The following is a 22,031-nucleotide window of genomic DNA, read 5'->3' as shown; positions in this document are numbered from 1 at the left end:
ACATGGCGAAACCCTGTCTCTACTAAAAACACAAACTTAGTGTGGTGTAGTGGTGCGTGCCTGTAATTTCAGCTACTTGGGAGGCTGAGGCAGGATACTTGCTTGAATCCAGGAGGCGGAGGTTGCAGTGAGCGAAGATCATGCCATTGCACTTCAGCCTGGGCAACAAAAGCGAAACTTCATCTCAAAAAAAAAAAAAAAAAAGAAAGAAAGAAATAATTTGACCAGTTTTTGGCATTATATTTTATTTGTATAGTGGATTTTATATGAGAAATATTGATTGATGATGAAGACATTGCTTGTTACAAGTTTTATAGCAAATGCAAAAACACATTTAATTTATAGCTTTATAGCAAATGCAGAAACATATTTAATTTGTAGCTAGGCACAGTGGCTTACACGTGTAATCCCAACACTTTGGGAGGCCGAGGCAGACAGATCACTTGAGGTCAGGAGTTCGAGATCAGCCTGGCCAACATGGTGAAACTTTGTCTCTACTAAAAATACAAAAATTAGTCAGGTGTGGTGCCACACGCCTGTAATCCCAGCTACTCGGGAGGCTGAGGCTGGAGAATCGCTTGAACATTGGAGGCAGAGGTTGCAGTGAGCTGAGATCACAACACTGCACTCCAGCCTGGGTGACAGAGTGAGACTCCGAGACTCTGTCTCAAAAAAACCATATATAGCTTATTTTATTTTTATTTTTTTACTAGTGCCAAGGACTTGGCATTAAAGTACAAATCAATGAATTTAATGAGGGAATAAACTAATGTTATTTAAGCACTATTTTTTTTAGTGTTCCTTAGTGCTTAAGTATAGAAAACTTAATGAATGGATGCCAGGTCCACCCTGTACTAAAAGCCTATGATTTTACCCCAATAAAGAGAAAATAAAAGCCTAGTGCCTCACCCAGACTTTTGATTAAGGATGGATTTGAAGTTACATTCTCTTAGCCTAAAACTGTCTCTTAAAGCTAAGGAAAGTATTGGAGATAAAAGCGTGCAAGCAGACTCTACACAGTTGGGCAAGTAACCTTTTGTAAAATTTTAACTTTGGCCAAAATGCCCAGTTGCTTTTTCTAAAGAAGGTGCTTGTTTTAGAGACAAAAAATAAATTAATAACTATATTAAATGATGTGCCAAAATAGGTACCTTCACATTTAATTGTACCTTTCTCTGGTTTATATTAACAAACACAATGGTTTGTCAGAATTTTTCCTTAAAACAAAGTTTTTGGTGGGGAAAAGAGTTATTCTTTAATTCATACAAGACCGTGCATTTTAAAATTGCAGTAAGATTGGAATATTTTTACCATGCTACTACATTTAAGGATCAGTTGATGATGCCTGAGAATATTACTTTTCATATTTAAAGTGCTTTGTGTATTTATTTTTAAAAATTTATTTTTAGGGTTTTATATGACTGGAAAGAAAGATTGAAACAGGGTTGTGAAATTATTCAGAGTACTCCCTATGGGCGCCCCGCAAATATTAGTGGGAGTACCTCATCACAAAGAATTTATATCACTTACCGAAGAGCCTCTGAAAACATGACTCAGAATACGTTGGCTGTCACTGACATATGTATTATTATACCCAGTAAAGGAGAAAGCCCACCACACACGTTCTGCAAAGTCGACAAGAATCTCAATAACAGTATGGTAAGTGACTTACTTGCACTGGTAACATTAACCACTGATGAAAAGAGCATAATTTTAAATACATCTTTTTTTTTTTTTTTTTTTTTTTTTTTTTTTTGGAAAACAGCATAGTTTAATTACAGAATTGAAAAATGTGTTTTTAAAGATATTAGATATTTTACTTTTCGGAAAGTACTTTGGTTGTACTTTCAAAAGAAACTATGCAAAGTACTTTTTTTTAAATTAAAAAAATAATATCCCCCACCCCCCCCGCCCACTACAAAAGCAATGAGTATCCTTCCACTTGTGACTAGATCCCACACCTCAACGGGACTAGATCCCACATCTCAATTTACCCATTTGAAGACATGGCTTTAGCAGTCCTCCCTACTTTTTTGTAAATCATTGGTTTTTCCCTCCCTATTTCCTCCAACATGCAAATATTTCTTATCTTTGCAAAACTTCTTGATCTCATATTCCTCTGCTTTCATTGCCTCATTTCATTATCCTTTACAGTAAAAGTTCTAAAAAGAGTTGAGTATATTCTGTCCCATTCCTCACTTTACTCTTTCCAGTCAGCCTTTTGTCTCCATCACTCCATCAAGATTTCTCTTGTTGTCATATCCAGAGATCAATACTTTGTTTTAATTTTTCAGCAGGTTTCTACATAAACGGTTACTTCTTCCTTCTTGAAACAGTGCAATGAAGAAGAAATATACTCTCTTCTTAGGTACTCTCTTGCTTTTTCCTTTTACCTCACCAGTCATTCCCTTTCTGCCTTTGCTGATTCCTTTTCATCTCCCCATCCCTACACAATGGAGTGCCTCATGGTTCAGTCCTCAAAGCATTTATCTTCACCACCTAAACATACTCCTTTGGTGATCTAATCATTTAAATATAGGCCACGTGTGGATGACTTCTAAATTTGTCTAATCTGGACTTCTCTAATTCATCATCCCTTCTTGAATATCTCATCTAATGAAGCATCTCAAATTTAATATGTCCAAAACTGAACTCCTGATGTTTCTCTCCAAACCTGCTTATAGTCTTCCTTATCTAGCAAATGGAAATTCCATTCTTCTAGTAACTCACACTGAAAAACCTTGGAGTAAACTTAACCTTTATCTTCTCCTCATTCAGTTCTTCTGTAAACTCTGTTAGCTATAATTTCAAAATGTATCTCGAACATGGCCACTTCACAACGCCTCTATTGCCATAACCCTAGTCTAAGCCATAATTGTCTCTTAATGGGATTATTGCAGTAGTGTCCTAATCCAGGGGTCAGGCAAATTTTTTCTTTAAAGAGCTAGGTGATAAATTAAGTTTTACAGGTCATACAATCTCTGTCTCATAGTCATCTCTTTTTTTTAACCCTTTATAAAAGCAAAAACTATTCTTAGTTTAGATATACAAGAACAGACCTTGGGCCAAATGCAGGCCATAGTTTTTTATCTAACTGATCAGTTCTTCCACTTCTGCTCTCTCTATCATATTCTTTGCATAGACAAGAGTGATCCTTTAAAAACATAAATCAGATCCTATCACTACTCTGCTTAAAACCCTTAATGGCTTCTCATCTCACTCTTAGTAAAAGCCAAAGTCCTCCCATGCATGATCCTTAACTGTCTTGTCTTTGTTCTTTTATTACTGTTTTAAATTAAAAAAAAAAAGGAATGTATACTCAAAGAAAATTGGAGGGCGAGGAGTATACAAATTGTAGATCTATGGAGTAGAAAGTGAGAAAATGAAGGTTCTTGTTCCTACTTCCATGTTTTGTCAGGGCTAACAATGAGCAATTTGACTTGTGTCCTTCCAGACCCTTTTGTGTTCACATATGTGGGGTATATATAATAAATTAATCCTTTTTTTTAATTTGAATTTTTTTGTATTTCCTTTTTCTTTTTTCACTTTTTATTTTAAAATCGGAGTACATTTGCAGGTTTGTTACAAAGGTATATATTGCATGATGCTGAGGTTTAGGGTGTGATTGAACCCATCACCCAGATAGTGAGCATAGAACCCAATGGGTGGTTTATCAGCCGTTGCTTTCCTCCCTGTCTTCCCCCTCTAGTAGTCCCCAGCGTCTTTTGTTCCTATCTTTATGTCCAGGTATACCCAATATTTAGCTCTCACTTATAAGCGAGAAAATGCAGTATTTAGTTTTCTGTTTCTGCATTAGTTTGCTTAGGATGATGACCTCCAGCTGCATCCACGTTGCTGCACAAGACATGATTTCATTCTTTTTTTATGATTGTATAGTATTAAAAAAATGGAAATTTCTTTATATTTCTGATATAAGCCTTTTTTCTATCGTTATCAGTTTATTTAACTTTCTACTTAATTATTTTAACAACTGCATAGTATTCCAGAAAGTACAAATGCAGAATGATGAATACAAGTTATTTTCAGTTTTTTCCATTCCTAGTAATGCTACTTTGATTAATGCTGTGCATTTTCTGTAGATATTTGAGTGTCTCTGGAAGAATAAGTAATTGTAAGTGGAACTGATGGGTCCATGAGTATGCTGACCATTTTGAAAGTGTTGAAATAATTGTTCTGAAAACGCTGTGGCAGTTTTTACTCCCAGCAGGCATAGTTTATGAGAATGCTATTTCCTACATTCCCACACCTCACCAACATTGGTTGTTACCAATTATTGACTTTTTAATTATTGACTATATAATACAAAATTGTTCTAATTTTAATTTGCATTTCTTTGCTTATTGTGGAGGTTGATAATATTGTAATATATTTATTAAATATTAAATATACTTAATATCAGTGTATTAAATATATTATTGAATGGCTAAATATTATTGTATTAAATGGATGTGCCACAATTTATTTATTATCCTCTTTTGTAAAGACCTTTAGATTCTGGTTTTTAAAAATGTTGCAAGCAAGCTGTTACGAACATACTTATAACTAAATCTTCTATAAAACAAGTTACATTTATTTAGCTCTTCTGTGCTATACACCGTTCTAAGTATTTCACATTCAATAACTCAGTTCTGCACAACCACCCTGAATAGGTATTTTCTCCCCATTTTACAAAGAAGAAAATTTGAGAGTTAAAGAGGTGGTTACTTTCCCATGATCATACCTTCAATTAGTAGTTAAAGCAAGATCCAATTCAGGTTGCAGAACTCCAGAACCAAACTCCTGAGCACTGTACTGCATTAATTATTTCCTTATGGTTCGTCCTGGAATTTCTGGATCAAAGCGCATATTTACTATTAAGATTTTATCCAGAAGGGTTTAACCAATTAAAATTCCTACCAATAAAGTACGAGAATATTGGTTTTTTTTTCATAATTTTGTCAACAATTGGGTCTCTTTTTTCTTTTTTTCTACTGCAGCTACTCTGAAGAAACAATTGGGTTTTTCTTTTTGTTTTTTTTTTTTTAGAGACAGGGTCTTGTTCTGTTGCCCAGGCTGGAGTATAGTGGACTGCTCATGGCTCATTGTAGCCTCGACCTCTTGGGCTCAAGTGATCCTCCCACTTTGGCCTCTCGAGCAGCTCAGTGGATTGACCACAGGTGTGCACCACCACATCTGGCTAATTTTTAACTTTTTTGTAGAATTGAGGTTTCCCTACATACCCCCGGCTCGTCTTGAACTCCTGAGCTCCAGCATTCCTCTTCAGTCCCCCAAAGTGCTGGGATTACAGACATGAGCCCCTGTGCCTGGCCAACAATTGGGTTTTTAATCACAAAATTTTAAATTTAATTTCTTTCTTTCTTTTTCTTTGTTTTTTTTGTTTGTTTTTTTTTTTTTAGAGACAGGATCTTGTTCTGTCACCCAGGCTGGAGTACATCAGTAGCATGATCATAGCTCTTTGTAGCCTCAAACTCCTGGGCTAACGTGATTCTCCTGCTTCAGCCTCCCAAATAACTGAGACTACAGGCATGCACCACCATGCTCGACTAATTTTCAAAATTTTTTGTAGATATTGGGTCTTATTTTATTGCCCAGGCTGGTCTTGAGCTCCTGGCCTCAAGCAATCCTCCCTCCTTGGCCTCCCAAAGCACTAGGATTGCAGGCATGAGTGACTTTGCTTAGCTGTAAATTTAATTTCTTTTTATTTTATTTTATTTTTTCTCACCCTATCTTGCGTGGATTTTGTTTAATTTTTAAATTTTTCCTCAAAAGCTAATTTCTTGATGTTAGAGCAGATATTTACAGTGTCCTATTATCATTATGTAAATTAACACTTTGCTAAGATCTAAAGATTTTATACGCATTTCAACATGTGTTAAGTTTTTATGGAAGTTGACTTTTTAAAAATTCATGTTCCTTTTTCTGAAGTGTAGGGAAGCAGACTTTTTTTTTTTCCTTTTTTTTTTTTTTTTTTTTTTTTGAGACGGAGTATCGCTCTGTCGCCCAGGCTGGAGTGCAGTGGTGCCATCTCAGCTCACTGCAACCTCCACCTCCCGGGTTCAAGTGATTCTCCTGCCTCAGCCTCCTGAGTAGCTGGGATTACAGGCGCGCGCCACCACGCCTGACTATTTTTGTATATTTAGTAGAGATGGGGTTTCACCACGTTGGTCAGGCTGATCTTGAACTCCTGACCTTGTGATCCGCCCACCTGAGCCTCCCAAAGTGCTGGGATTGCAGGTATGAGCCACTGTGCCTGGCCAGGAAGCAGATTTTTAAAACTATTTTTACTTTCTTAATATAGCAACATGAGATACTGAGGGTTAAGATGAAGCAAAAAGACGAAAAACTGGGGTGTATTGATATGTGGCTGGATACAGTACAAATTTTGGGACCCTGAATTTGGTTTTAACCCTCTCAATAAGATAGCACAGGATATCTGTATTTCATAGTGATTAAAATCAGTATAGATTAGTGTGTTCAGAGCACAAACTCTGGTTCTAGAGTGTCTGGGTCTGTACCCTATCTCTGACCATTACTGGCTGTGTGACCTGGGACAAGTAGCTTAACCTCTCTGTGCCTGTTACATGATTGTAAAATGAGGATGATAATAGCATCTAGTTTAATCCATATTAAGCTTATAGAAAGAGTTTTCAAAAATTACTTTGTTTTAAACCTTGGACCATAGCCTTAAATGATTTGGACTTTGATTTGATATTAGAACATAATTACAGTATTTTAGAGCTGGATGAGAACTTAGAGTGGTCATACAATCTAAAATTGCAAAAATTTGTGAAGAAGAATATTTAGTCCAGGTAGCTTGCTTGACTTGCTTTAAAACACACAGCTAATTTTTGGCAAATTTGAGACTATCTCCTTAGTTTTTGACTCTCGTTAAGAGTATTTTTTTTTTTTTTTAAACAGAGTCTCACTTTGTCACCCAGGATGGAGTGTAGTGGTGCGATCTCGGCTCCCTGCAACCTCCACCTCCTGGGTTCAAGTGATTGTCCTATCCCAACCTCCCGAGTAGCTGGGATTACAGGCATGCGCCACCACGCCCGGCCATTTTTTGTATTTTTTTTTTTTTTTAGTAGAGACAGGGTTTTACCATTTTTTTAGTAGAGAACAGGGTTTTACCATATTGGCCAGGCTGGTCTTCTGATCTCAAGTGATCCGCCTGCCTCGGCCTCCCAAAGTGCTGGGATTACAGATGTGAGCCACTGCACCTGGCTGAGTCTCCTTAAGGGTATTTTTTAAATACTCTTTCCACATGGCTCTTGTTTTACAACTGTCCAAGAATGTCAGCATTTGATTTAGCGAGTTTACTTAGAAAAGTAGAATTGAGCCGGGTGCTGTGACCTGTAATCCCAACACTTTGGGAGGCTGAGGCAGTTGGATCACTTGAGGTCAGGAGTTCGTGACCAGCCTGGCCAACATGCTGAAACCCTGTCTCTACTAAAATACAAAAATTAGCCAGGCCTGGTAGTGCACACCTGTAATCCCAGCTACTCGGGAGGCTGAGGCAGGAGAATTGCTTTAACCTGGGAGGCAGAGGTTGCAGTGAGCCGAGATCATGCCACTGCACTACAGTCTGCGTGACAGAACGAGACTCCGTCTCAAAAAAAAAAAAAAAAAAAAAAAAAAAAAAAAAAAGAGAAAAAAGTAGAATTGTTAACAAGGGAAGTAATTAAATCATGTACCTAATTCTGGGGGAAAGAGGAAGAATTTGAAAGTACGTTTTTGCTGTGGCAAACCACAATGTGGATACTTATTGGTAGAGAGTTTAAAGTAGTTTTAGAACAATGCCTCCTTCTTTTTTCACCTTGAACCTTGTGTGTAAAAAAATTTGGAAAATGCTTTTAATTCCTTTTTTTTTTTTTTGAGACGGAGTTTCACTCTTGTCGCCCAGGCTGGAGTGCGATGGTATGATCTCTGCACACCGCAACCTCCGCCTCCTGGGTTCAAGGGATTCTCCTGCCTCAGCCTCCTGCGTAGCTGGGATTAAGGGTGCCCGCCACCACATCCTGCTAATTTTTGTATTTTTTTTTTTTGGTAGAGACGGGGTTTCACCATGTTGGCCAGGCCGGTCTCAAACTCCTGGCCTCAGGTGATCCGCCCACCTCGGCCTTCCAAAGTGCTGGGATTACAGGCATGAGCCACCATGCCTGGCCCCGCTCTTAATTTTAATATCCATGGTTCTCTTTCCTACAGAGCCCCGTAACTTATACTGCATTTCTAACTCCTTGTTTTTCATTATAGAATATTCCTTTTGGTTTCTACTATATCCAAATGGTCATATAGTTCTTTTTTTATTGTCACCAAAGTTATTATTGAAGTTTTCTTGCTATCTTTACAAATTGGATTTATTGGGAAGTAGAGTTGGGACTTTCCAATAGAGAGCCCATTTTTATAAAATTTTTTTTATCCATTTGATAAACCAAAATTTGTTTGCCTATATTCATAATATCTGCTTGACTTTTACATATTCATGTGACTTAAAAAATATTTTTCCAGTAGATTAGTGTGTTAAATGTTGCTTATGTTCATTGCTGTGTTGGGATTTTATTTTTATAAATGCTTTAATATTTTTCCATCAAGAGAAAATTTCCCAAGGCTACAATCTCAACATAATTCATTAAACTATATTAAAATAAAAGGTTAAGGGTTTTTATTTTTTAGTAAGATATTTGCAGATAGCCAGACATATTATTTTATGTGTATTGTGTGTTTTAAATAAGAGAGATATTTGAATATTATTCTCTTTCACTTTAGTTTGACCACATTATGCTGTTAGCTATTCAGTATTTGGAAGGCTGACAGATACTTAAAGTTGAAAAGCAAAGATTTATGTTTTTGAATACTCAGGAGATTGTCATTTCTTGATAAAATATTATTAAATGATCATATAGTGCTATTTATGATATCTTCTCATTGTTATTCATCAGATTTTTAAGTACATCTAAATGAGAACTTGATTAAGTGAGTGTGAACTAAATATCAGAGAAACCAAAGTTGGAAAATAATTTATATTCAGACACTTGGCTTCTTACATGAAAATACTTATGTAACTTGTCTGTATTTTCTGTAATACTGATATTTTTCCAAAGTTTTAGTCGTTACCTTTAAGTAACTACTTGTCACCTCTTGTCACCTGGCTTTTGACAGGTATATAATGCATTTTTTATTCAGAAATGACTCAAGTACAATTCTTATTTAATTCTTGAAAGGATTACATGAGAAACAAGCCAACAAAAAGGCTTCTGTACATTCAAAATAGATACAAAGTTCAGACACTAAAAGCTTATACTTTATGAGTCTCTCAGAGCTACCCACTAATGTTTACTTAGTCTTATGTAAGTAAACTTTTTTGTATTCAGATAATAGTTAAGAAAATATATAATACACCAAATGGTGATACATGCTAAGGAGGAAAAAAAATGCAAGAGAGGGGTGATGGGGAGGACTGGGCAGGGTGGAGGGAGCCTTGTTATTATATGTAAAATGGTGAAAGGAAGACTCTCTGATAAGATGATGTTTGAGTTGATACCCCATGGAGGTGAGGAAGTGTGCCATGTAAATTTCTCTCATCACCTATACATCAAATGGTGACCTCTCTCAAGTTTGTGTGTCCATTTCAGACCGCTTACCTTAGCTCTATTTAGTTCTTCACTTGGATGTCTAATAGATGTTTCAAACTTAACATGTCTAAAACTGAACCCCTTATCTTCACCCCAAACCTGCTTTATCCACAGTCTTCTCCATCTCAATTGAGTTTCTTCCTTCCTGTTACTCAGGCATTGGCATCATCTTTGACTCTTATACTGTACTTCATATAATCAGATAGGATTTTTTTTTGTCTGTATTTTCAGAATATACCCAGAATCTGACCTCTTTTCATCATTCCCACTGTTGCTACCCTTATTCAAACTCTCATAATTTTTGCCTGGATTACTGATACAAAATAATTATGAGTACTTGCTTTCTTCCTTGTCTCCCACCCCCACTTCTCAACATAGTACTCAGAGTGACCTTTTAACTGTATGTCAGATAATGCCTCTCTTCTGCTCAAAACCCTCCAGTGGCTTTCACTATCTCCAAGAGTAATAGAAGCCAAAATCCTTAAAACAGCCTAAAAGGACCCACATGATCTGGCTTCCTTATCTCCCATCAGTATTTCATTTACTCTTCTCTGCTGTCATTGCCTCTTTAGCTCTTAGGTCATGACGGGCATACTTTTGTATCAGGGCCTTTCCTCTTGACATTCCTTCTACCTAGAAACCTCTGCTCCAAGATTAATTCATTCAGCAAATACTTTATGGAGTACCTGTAATGCACCAGGCACTGTTTTAGGTATTAATGATAACAGAATGTAGAACTTATCAGAGTGGAGGAAAATAGATGATAATAAATTTTAAACAAATAACTTTTAAAGTATAGTATGTTAGAAAGTGTTAAGTGCTGTAGTAAAAAAGAAAACCTAAAAGTATCATAAAAGGGGATTGGGAGTAGAGGGGAATGGGTTGCAATTTTAAATTGAGTGGTCAGGGAAGCCCTTATTTGAAAGTAATATTTGAAGGCAGTAAGGAAGTTAATCATTCAGATATCACAGGCAAAGAATGTTTGAAATATAGGGAACAGTCTGTGCAAAAGGCCTCAAGGAGGGACCATTCCTGGCATGTTTTAGGAACAATAAGGAAAATGGTGTGTCTTAAAGCAGAATAAATTATGGGGAGAATAAAGAGATTGGAATTGGGGGTAGATGATTAGGGCCTTTAGGTGATTGTAAGGACTTTAGCTTTTATTCTGAGAGAGACTGAGATTTTGAACAGAATAGTGACATGCTCTGACATTTGATTTAAAAGGATCACTCGTTTATGTAGTGATAGACTGTGGCGGGAAGCAAAGGTGGAAGGAGGAAGACCGTTTGGGAGATTATTGCAATCCAGGGTACTAGGGGTGGAGTTGTACAAATCACGTTAAATTGTAATAATAAAAACTTATTATATACTCCTTTTAATTATCAATGACATTACACTTCTTCATGTGCATGGATTGTGTAAGGAATGTGTTTCATAAAACTATTTTACCCTTATTTCAAAACTTTTAAATAAATTATGTATATATTTATTTAGTAAAACTTATTTAACTACTATGTGTGAGCCTCTGGGAGTACAGTGGTGAAGAAAACAAAATCCCTACCCTCATTGAGCATATATTCAAGTCAGAAAGACAATAAACAAACAAATATAGCATGTAATGATAAATAATCTTAAGAATAAAAAGAGGCTGGGCACAGTGGCTCACGCCTGTAATCCCAACACTTTGGGAGGCCGAGGCGGACAGATCACCTGAGGTCAGGAGTTCGAGACCAGCCTGGCCAACACCATGGCCAACATGGTGAAACCCCATCTCTACTAAAAATACAAAAATTGGCCGGGCATGGTGGCATGTTCCTGTAATCCCAGCTACTCCAGGAGGCTGAGGCAGGAGAATCACTTGAACCTGGGAGGCGGAGGTTGCAGTGAGCTGAGATTGCACCATTGCGACTCTATCTCAAAAAAAAAAAAAAAAATCAGCCAGTCATGGTGGCACGTGCCTGTAATCCCAGCTACTTGGGAGACTGAGGCATGAGAATCACTTGAACCCAGGAGGCAGAGATTGCAGTGAGCCAAGATCGCACCACTGCACTCCAGCCTGGGTGACAGAGCGAGACTCCATTTAAAAAAAAAAGATTTGAAAGTTAAGTTATTCTTTTAAGGAGTGGTAATTAAAGCCTGATTGGAAATGAATTTGGGAGAAAGTAGGAAATAAGGAAGTGGACTTAACAAATTACAACTCTTGAGGCATAAAGGATTGCAGAAAAACCTGGCAATATCTGAAACAGATTGTGGAGTCAAAGGTATGCACTTGAGTAGATACTTTATAGTTTATCATTTATACCCACAGTTTGGACTCAGAATAAAATCTAAATGGTTGTGACTTAGCTTTGTTTAAAAGAGTCAAGTTTTCCTCATGTTATTGCTGTTGCAAGGGGAAAAAAGTAGTAATTTACTTCTGAAAGAAAAGTGGACAGTGATTCCAATAAAATATTGACAAAACAGCCAACTGAAAATAGCTAGCAGAGGGAAATTTGTTACTACATATTAGATAATACATACTAGAGAGCTCAAAGAGATTCCATTTTATCAAGTTCCTACCTTTTAAAAATTAAATGATATTTCTATTTTTTTAAATCCAGTGGGGATCAGCAGTATACTTGTGTTATAAAAAATCGGTGGCAAAGACGAACACTGTATCTTACAAAGCTGGTAAGTGTAATTTTTCATGCAATACTTCATATATAAATGTATTATAGGGCCCGGAAAGGTTAAAGTAAAGAAACCTGCCTAGTCTGTGTTAGTATCAGGACTGGGACTACAATCCGTATCTTCTGATTCTCATTTTTGTCTTCACTTATATGTTTATTGGATGCTTGATGGAAGATTAATTTTAAAATAAGGTGAGTTTTTATTTTAAGCCTTGGGTTTAAATAAATAATAAGATCTCAATTATCTTTAAGTTTTTAAATCAGCAGAAATATGGTAAAATGTATTTTCATTTTAAATTAATATTTCTTTAATACTTAAATTTAGTAAGAGCTGTAGTTCACATGAAATCATGTTTCATAATAATGGAAAATATTATAAACCAATTTGGAGTTTTATAATCCATAGTCAAAATGTCCAATTTTCAGAGACCTCAAAATACCAAACATAGTGACCTTATTTACAAGAGAACAGATTCAGCCTTTTAAAAATTGCTTTTATGCAGGGCATGGTGGCATGTGCCTGTGGTTCCAGTTTTTTCGGAGGCTGAGGCAGGAGGATTGCTTGAGCCCAGGAGTTCAAGACCAGCCTGGGCAACATAGACCCCATCTTTAAAAATATATACATATATACCAGCCTGGGCAACATAGACCCCATCTTTAAAAATATATACATATATACATATACATTTATATACGTGTGTGTTTAGAGTTCTAGACTCAAGTTTCTCTTTTACATTTGATTTTTTTTGGGGGGGGTACGGGGTCTCATTCGGTTGCTCAGGCTGGAGTACAGTGGTATGATTGTAGCTCACTGCAACCTCAGACTCTTGTGCTCAAGGTATCCTCTTGCCTCAGTCTCCCTAGTACCTTGGACTATAGGAGTGTCCCAGCATGCCTGGCTAATTTTTTAAATTTTTGTAGAGACAGGGTCTTTCTTAGGTTGCCCAGGTTGGTCTTAAACTCTTGGGCTCAAGCGCTCCTCTTGCCTCAGCCTCCTAAAGTGATGGGATTACAGGTGAGGGCCACCATACCCGGCCTTTGATATTTTTAGATCTACAATTTATCACCTTTTTTTTTTTTTCTTTTAAAGACAAGGTTTTGCTCTGTTGCCTAGTCTAGAGTGCAGTCGTGGGATCATAGTTCACTGCAACCTTGAACTCCTGGGCTCAAGCAGTCCTCCCACATCAGCCTCCCAAGTAGCTGAGACTACCGAGAGTACATGGTGGCATGTGCCACCGTGCCTGGCTAATTTTTTTTTTTTTTTTTTTAGTAGAGATGGAGTCTTGCTGTATTGCCCAGGTTGCTCTTGAACTCCTTCGCTCAAGTGATCCTTCCACTTCAGCCTCCCAAAGTGCTGAGATTACAGGCGTGAGCTGCTGTGCTGGCTACTGGCTCTCATCAATATTTCTTTTTTTTTCTTTCTTTTTTTTTTTTTGGGAGATGGAATCTCACTGTGTTGCCCTAGGCCTAATTTGTGGATATCCTCAAGAAGATTATGAGTCATTCTCACTACCAGAATCCGTTCCTCTATTTTGTTTACCAATGGGTGCAACCATTGAAAGGCTGGAGTGCAGTGGCACGATCTTGGCTCACTGCAACCTCCGCCTCCCGAGTTCAAGCAATTCTCCTGCCTCAGCCTCCCGAGTAGCTGGGACTACAGGCACACACAGCCACACCTGGCTAATTTCTTGTATTTTAGTAGAGATGGGGTTTCACCGTGTTGTCCAGGCTGGTCTTGAACTCCTGAGTTCAGGCAATCTGTCCGCCTCGGCCTCCCAAAGTGCTAGGATTACAGGCATGAGCCACCACGCCCAGCCGGCCTTCATCACTATTTCTATACTTACTTTATGACTTTATTAATTACCTCATGACCTGAGAGAGTAGTACAGAGTTAACTATAGATCCTCATGGGACCTACTTGCTGGCTAGCATGTAATTAAATAATTTTAGAACTGCCTTGGACCTTAGTTTATCTACTTCATCTGATTTTATAGATGAGAAAACCATACTCCTGTAGTATGTCATTTGTCCAAAGCCACAGATATATTAGTGGCAGAACCAACAACCACTTATATTCCCCCAGTTTATCTTTTTGTCTTTGTGGCTGTCTAGTGATAGTTTCTACTTGACTTTAAGGGCTTTATGGCCAGGGAACCTATTTTCTGTTTCTAGTTCCACAAAATGAGGTACAAGGTTCTTCCTGGAGTGTATTCAGTGGAAGATGCCTGGACCGTTTTCCTAATGTAAACATTAGTTTACCTAATGTGAAATCATAGGCAACTTAAAACTCTATCTTCATATAACCTGGTGTTATTTAGAAGCTGAGCTTGAGTTGATACTATTCCTAAGACATTGTAAATATGTGACTCTTCTATTTTTATGAAAAATTTTCCTGTATTTGTGCTAGAAATTAACATATACTCCTATGGGATATGAATTTTAATGTGTAAAAGTTATTGAGAGCTGATGAAGTAGATAGATGAAAATAAACCATATTGAAAATTTCAAAAACTTAGTATTCTTTCTAAGGTAGTGTGACCACAAGCTGAATTTTTAGGAGTATGTTTGTGCATTTCTATAGGATATCTTTTTCTTGTTAGCTTTAACATAGCCTTTATAGATGAAGCTTGATAAATATTAAGCAGTTAGTTAATAGTTGTAATGTTCAAGGATTAAAATCTCTATGAATCCTACCAAAGTATTCAGTGTTATTTGATGAACATATATATAATGCTTTGGCATTCCAAATGTGTGAAATAACAAAGCATTTTATCATCATTGAAATAATAAGTACCTAAATTCAAGAGATGATGACCTAATATTTATTGTTGTTTTTATAGGCCTAATTTGTAGATATCCTCAAGAAGATTATGAGTCATTCTCACTACCGGAATCTGTTCCTCTATTTTGTTTACCAATGGGTGCAACCATTGAATGTTGGCCATCAAATAGCAAATACCCTCTGCCTGTATTTTCTACTTTTGTTTTAACTGGAGCCTCAGCTGAAAAGGTATTATGTGTTTGACAAATTGTATCTACAAATTTCTTGTACATTTTCAAGTTTTCTATAATGCAAGGAATAGTAGGGGAAAAACTGATTAAATTGAATGATTATGCATACTTTTCCAGTTGATTAAAATAACTGTATCCAGGGACATAGGAAAAGAGAATTTTTATTCTGTCCCATCCACCTAAATGCTTTTTTGTGATTATGGTGAAAGATTTTTTCATCATCAAATGATGATCCTTCATTTATTCATTTTCTGTGATAAAGAAGCTTTGAAAGTAACATTATTAAATATATAATGCAATTTAGAATTATAGACATGATAGTTGGAAGGGACCTTGGACATTATCAAGTCTAATGTCCTCATTTTATGGATAGGGAAATTGATGTCCCGAGAAATTCAATGAATTGCCCAAAGTTGGAATTTGTATTTCGTTATCTAAAGTTTCATCTCACTTTCTACCAAGTAATTATTTTCAATCATTTTCTTATAGAGAATATTGATAAAATTGCTTCCACTCTTTATAAAACAAATAAATTTAATCAAAACACCTTTTCTTTCAGTAGTAAGGTAACATGAGAATAGCACTATATAGTTCTTAGATACATCAAGAAAGCAGGAGGGGTGTCTCTTCATCACTGTGTTCTTAATACCTGGCCTCTCACCTGGCTCATAGCAAGCATTTATTAAATATTTAACTGATGATGTGATTTGGATATATGATACAAAGTATATTTACTGGATATATTACTTGTTTTGCAGGTTTATGGTGCTGCTATTCAGTTTTATGAACCATACTCTGAGGAGAATCTCACAGAAAAGCAGAGACTTCTTTTGGGTTTAACATCAGCAGATGGGAAGTCTGATAGTTCCAAAACAATTCATACTAACAAATGCATCTGTCTTCTTTCTCACTGGCCTTTTTTTGATGCATTCAGGAAGTTTCTGACTTTTCTGTATCGTTATTCCATCTCTGGGCCTCATGTCCTTCCAATTGAGAAGTAAGTTAAGTGTTCTTGGTTCAACATTTGACAGATCTTTCCATTATGTGGCAAATTTGTGTCGGCAACTGGGTAAATTTTATATGGATACTAGATTTCTCAAGAGTTATTTGAAAAAAATGGTTTATTTCAGTCAGGTAGTATTTCTCCATTGTATGTTTGTAGTCTTGTTATTTAAAATAATTTTATCTCCAGTGAGATGAAATTAATGTTTCATTTGTTTAATGCTCTTGGGAAGTTTAGAGATCCTAATCTGGACAGATGCTGAAAATTTTTTACTAATTTTTAAATTCTTATTTTACATATAATTTAAATTTATTATGAACCTTTACAAATATTTCTTACTGGGGCTGAGTGCAATAGTTCACGCCCATAATCTCAGCACTTTGGGAAGCCAAGGCAGGCAGATCTCTTGAGTCCAGGAGTTTGAGACCAGCCTGAGCAACATAGTGAAACCCCATCTCTACAAAACTACAGAAATTAGTTGGACATGGCCCATGCCTGTAGTCCTAGCTGCTCAGGAGGCCAAGGCACAAGAGTCACTTGAACCCGGGAAGCAGAGGTTGCAGTAAGCCACGATCATGCCACTACACTCCAGCCTGGGTGACAGAGGGAGACCCTGCCTCAAAAAAAAAAAATTTCCTTACCGTATTTACATATAATGAATGTAAAGGAGAAATTAGATGAATGCATTTTTTTTCCTTTGGCAATATATGCAGTAATGGAATCGCCAGATCAATTTATTTTAAAGATAACACACCCATTGCATGTTAATATAAATGTCTTTTTTGAAAAATAACTTTTCCAAAACTAAAAAAACTTTAGTGAGCAGAATGGCATTGTTTTACATTTTTGCAGATCTCTAATGTCTAGCTTAATTAAACATAGCTGGGCTTCCATATATGGTCTGCATTCAATCTGTTGCAGTAGTTGTTTTGGTTGAAATATACAAAGAAAGCCTGGCCTCCCACAGATATGTAGGTAGAAAAGGGAGGGATTTTGGATCATATTTTCAGAAAGTTTGGGATATTCTTTTTTTTGACACTGCACCAAGCTTGACAAATGCTGGTTTCTTACAGGTTATTTGCAATCTAAAACTGTAGTAGTGAACTTTGTCAGTTACATTAAAATCTATTGGTCTGGGCAGGTGTGGTGGCTCACACCTGTAATCCCGACACTTTGGGAGGCTGAGGCAGGTGAATCACCTGAGGTCAGGAGTTCAAAACCAGCTTGGCCAACATGGTGAAACCCTGTCTCTACTAAAAAAAAAAAAAAATACAAAAGCCAGCTGTGGTTGTGGGCACCTGTAATCTCATCTACTCTGGAGGCTGAGGCAGGGAGAATTGCTTAAACCTGGGAGGCGGAGGTTGCAGTGAGCCAAGATCATGCCACTGCACTCCAGTATGGGCGACAGAGCGAGACTCCATCTCCAAAAAAATAAAAAATAAAAAAATCTATTGTTCTGTTTGACTTTTTGGGTGGAACTTTCACTTATGCATTATTTTGTAGCATTGTGCATTGGTCATTTGTTAAATACTGATTTGCCAAGTTAATCCCATCTTCCAAATGTAGACACATTTTATTATTAATATTAAAAAATCACATTTGTTAATATCACCCCCATCTTAGAAAAGTTTTTGAGCATTAGGAAGCTTTCAAGCTCATGGTGGCGAAATTGTAATTTCCACTTGAAAGTTTGTATTTAATTATTGGCAAATATTGCCAGTAGCTGGGATTACAGGCGTGTGCCACCATGCTTGTCTAATTTTGTATTTTTGGTAGAGATTGGGTTTTGCCATGTTGGTGAGGCTGGTCTCGAACTCCTGACCTCAGGTGAAACACCTGCCTCGGCCTCCTAGAGTGCTGGGGATTACAGGTGTGAGCCACCACACCTGGCCTGTCAGTCATCTTTCAAACAAAAATTGCACTCTGTGGGAGAAAACCAGCAAGTTCACTCACAACTCAGTTGCACAAGTGTATTTCCAAAATCAAGACAACCATTGTGCTTCTGTATACAGCAGAAGTTATTTATGTATAGTTTCCCTTTCATCATACAGAATTTTAAAAATGTACACTACAGCCAAAACTTAATAAAATTAGTAATATTTACTGCCAATATTGACACTCTTTTACTGCAATTATATAGTAGTAAAGAATATAGCAACTACTAGTACACTTTGGTGCCACTGCCTTGATTCATAGTAAGTCACCAGCAGTTTTACCCACAATGCTCTTGCACTGTCAGTGCAAATGTCAACATTGTGCAGAAAGCAAATGACATCATATAATTTTTTGTTTGCTTGTTTTTTTCTTTTTGTTTTCGTTTTTTGACACAGAGTCTGGTTCTGTCGCCCAGGCTGGAGTATAGTGGCGTGATCTTGGCTCACTGCAACCTCTGCCTCCTGGGCTTAAGTGATTCTCATGCCTCAGCCTCCTGAGTAGCTGGAATTACAGGTGTGTGCCACCACACCTGGCTGATTTTTGTATTTTTGGTAGAGACAGGGTTTTACCCTGTTGGCCAGGCTGGTCTCAAACTCCTGACATCAAGTGATCCGCCCACCTTGGCCTCCCGAAGTGCTGAGATTACAGGTGTGAGCCGCCGCGCCTTGCCTGTTTTTGTTTTTGAATCAGTGTCTCACTCTGTTGCCCAGGCTGGAGTGCAGTGGCATGATCATGGCTAACTGCAGCCTGGACCTCCTGGGCTCAAGCCATCCTCCCACCTCAGCCCCTCCAAGTAGCTGGGACTGCAGGCACATGCCACCATGCCTGGCTAATTTTTGTATTTTTTGTAGAGACAGGATTTCACCATGTTGCCTAGGCTGGTCTTGAACTCCTAGGCTCAATCAATTCACTCGCCTCAGCCTCCCAAAGTGCTGGGATTACCGCGCCTGGCCAACATCATACTATTATTATAAAAATAGCTGTGACCTTGCAGATCTTCCCTGAATGGATCTTGAATATCTTTAGGGGTTTTTGGATCACACTTTGTTTTCTTCTGTTCTAACTACTTCATAGTTCAAGCAGATGTATGTGCTGTGGTATTCATCCCCTGCTTGACGTTTGTTTAGATTATGAGTACTTTAATTGAAGGGGTGGGTTGCCCCTCCACACCTGTGGGTGTTTCTCGTTAGGTGGAACAAGAGACTTGGAAAAGAAAAAAACACAGAGACAAAGTATAGAGAAAGAAATAAGGGGACCCGGGGAACCAGCGTTCAGCATATGGAGGATCCCGCCAGCCTCTGAGTTCCCTTAGTATTTATTGATCATTCTTGGGTGTTTCTCCGAGAGGGGGATGTGTCAGGGTCACAAGACAATAGTGGGGAGAGGGTCAGCAGACAAACACGTGAACAAAGGTCTTTGCATCACAGACAAGGTAAATAATCAAGTGCTGTGCTTTTAGATATGCATACACATAAACATCTCAATGCTTTACAAAGCAGTATTGCTGCCCGCATGTCCCACCTCCAGCCTTAAGGCGGTTTTTCCCTATCTCAGTAGATGGAACGTACAATCGGGTTTTATACCGAGACATTCCATTGCCCAGGGACGGGCAGGAGACAGATGCCTTCCTCTTGTCTCAACTGCAAGAGGCATGCCTTCCTCTTATACTAATCCTCCTCAGCACAGACCCTTTACAGGTGTCGGGCTAGGGGACGGTCAGGTCTTTCTCTTCCCACGAGGCCATATTTCAGACTATCACATGGGGAGAAACCTTGGACAATACCTGGCTTTCCTAGGCAGAGGTCCCTGCGGCCTTCCGCAGTATTTGTGTCCCTGGGTACTTGAGATTAGGGAGTGGTGATGACTGTTAAGGAGCATGCTGCCTTCAAGCATCTGTTTAACAAAGCACATCTTGCACAACCCTTAATCTATTTAACCCTGAGTTTGACACAGCACATGTTTCAGAGAGCACGGCGTTGGGGGTAAGGTCATAGATTAACAGAATCTCAAGGCAGAAGAATTTTTCTTAGTACAGAACAAAATGGAGTCTCCTATGTCTACTTCTTTCTACACAGACACAGTAACAATCTGATCTCTCTTGCTTTTCCCCACATTAATGGTAGACATTGGTGGCTTTTTATGACTTTTTTACATATCCTGTCATGTCTGTTGGTGTGTTTTTATATAGTAAACAGTCAAAACATATTTGTAAATTAATAAATTTCTAATATTGTCTATCTAGTTGAAATTTTCTCCATTCTGAAACCAAGATGATTTTGAAATAATGTTTTTTAAAAAATAATACAAACATATTCAGACTGGAACAAAAATTTTTAAAAAAATTCAGAAATAAAATAGCTTATTCCCCCCTAGGAAAGATTTTTCACTATGGTTGCTTTTTTTCTGTTCCATAGTGTTAAAAACAAAATCCATAGATCTAGCTTTTTATCCATCTTATTCTGGGGAAAAAACCTACAAAATCAGTAATATAATTTTTAACGTATTATTAATAGAAAGAATACTGTTCAGTTTTTAGAAGTATTAAACTGTTTCATTTTTTCTGGAGCACCTTAAGTGTTTGTTGTACATAAGACAAGCAATTGACTAAAAAGCATATTGTAAATGTAAGAATTTACTTTTTGGGTAATTTCCACATCACTGATATATTGCATACTATCTAGGTAAAAGTTAAACAGACTTTTAAGACAGTGATAACAAATATTGTTGAATGTGAATGCCTATTAATGTGAAAAGTCACTGGGTTTAGGCAGAAGCAACTTTAATGGGATGAATGATTTTTGGTTGTTCACTTGTTTTCATAGTATTAGGGATTTCAAAATAATAGGGACACAGGGCTTTGACTCAACTTGGACTTGTGATGACATGTTGAGCTTTATAGCATATGACGTTCACTTTGGAATCACTTACACTTTTGTTTGTTTTCAAGGCATATTTCTCATTTTATGCATAAAGTTCCTTTTCCATCTCCTCAGAGACCACGGATTTTAGTTCAGGTAAGGTTTTTTTGTTTTTGATTGGGGGACCTATGAGTTGTTATTGGCTCTGTCAAAATGTAACATAAGAATAACAATTCTGAATGAGGAAAAAAACCTAATGAGATTTAGAGAGAACCAGATACTATTACCTGTTGTAGTTTGGGCCCTTAATGTTTTATTAACTCCTCCCAGACATCTCCTGCTTTTCTTAGAGAACGGGTTCAAGAATTAAAGAAGTAGGTTGAAGTAGACATTTTGAATACACAGAAAGGAACTTTTTTCCCCTAAATTTGTTGTAGGTATTTGAAAGTTTGTGCCTTTGGCAGTTATTTAATAAGTTAAGGGAAAGTTGTGTGTGCATAAATTTCAAAACATAGATAAGAGTAATTACATTATTATATTGATACAGATAAAATATCTAGAAAAATAATATTTTGAGCTTTATATTCAGTCTGAATATCCACATGTGATTTCTGTCTTGTTTCCTGGAATGTAGTGTAAGAATATACATAACACATTCAGTTTAAATACACACAAAAGATTGTTTTATGATGGAAGTTAACAAACTTTTTTGGTTATTGGTCATACACTAAATATTTTAGTCTTTACTTGTCATCTGATCTCTGTCACAACTATTCAGCTCTTCTGTTACAGCACAAGAGCAGCTGGGTAATATGTAAATAATGAGCATGCCTATATTTCAGTAAAACCTTATTTACAAAAACAGGCAATCTATGGATTTGCCATGTAGGCCATAGGTTTT

General features: G+C 37.2%; 1 protein-coding gene across 27 annotated transcripts in view; it reads left to right on the top strand.

Annotated features, from left to right (window-relative positions):
- The window catches only part of DENND4A (DENN domain containing 4A), a 133,171-nt gene that overhangs the window by 38,256 nt on the left and 72,884 nt on the right, over positions 1-22,031 (top strand). For all 27 annotated transcript variants that reach the window (NM_001376920.1, XM_047432100.1, XM_047432097.1 and 24 more), the window contains 5 exons: positions 1,410-1,659; positions 12,254-12,323; positions 15,163-15,332; positions 16,093-16,331; positions 21,220-21,286. In NM_001376920.1, coding sequence (NP_001363849.1) covers positions 1,410-1,659; positions 12,254-12,323; positions 15,163-15,332; positions 16,093-16,331; positions 21,220-21,286 — 796 coding nt within the window. The remainder of the gene's footprint in view (positions 1-1,409; positions 1,660-12,253; positions 12,324-15,162; positions 15,333-16,092; positions 16,332-21,219; positions 21,287-22,031) is intronic.

Source organism: Homo sapiens, chromosome 15 (assembly GCF_000001405.40).
Source record: "Homo sapiens chromosome 15, GRCh38.p14 Primary Assembly".
Classification (NCBI taxonomy): Eukaryota; Metazoa; Chordata; class Mammalia; order Primates; family Hominidae; genus Homo; species Homo sapiens.
This window is presented reverse-complemented; position numbering and strand designations above follow the sequence as displayed.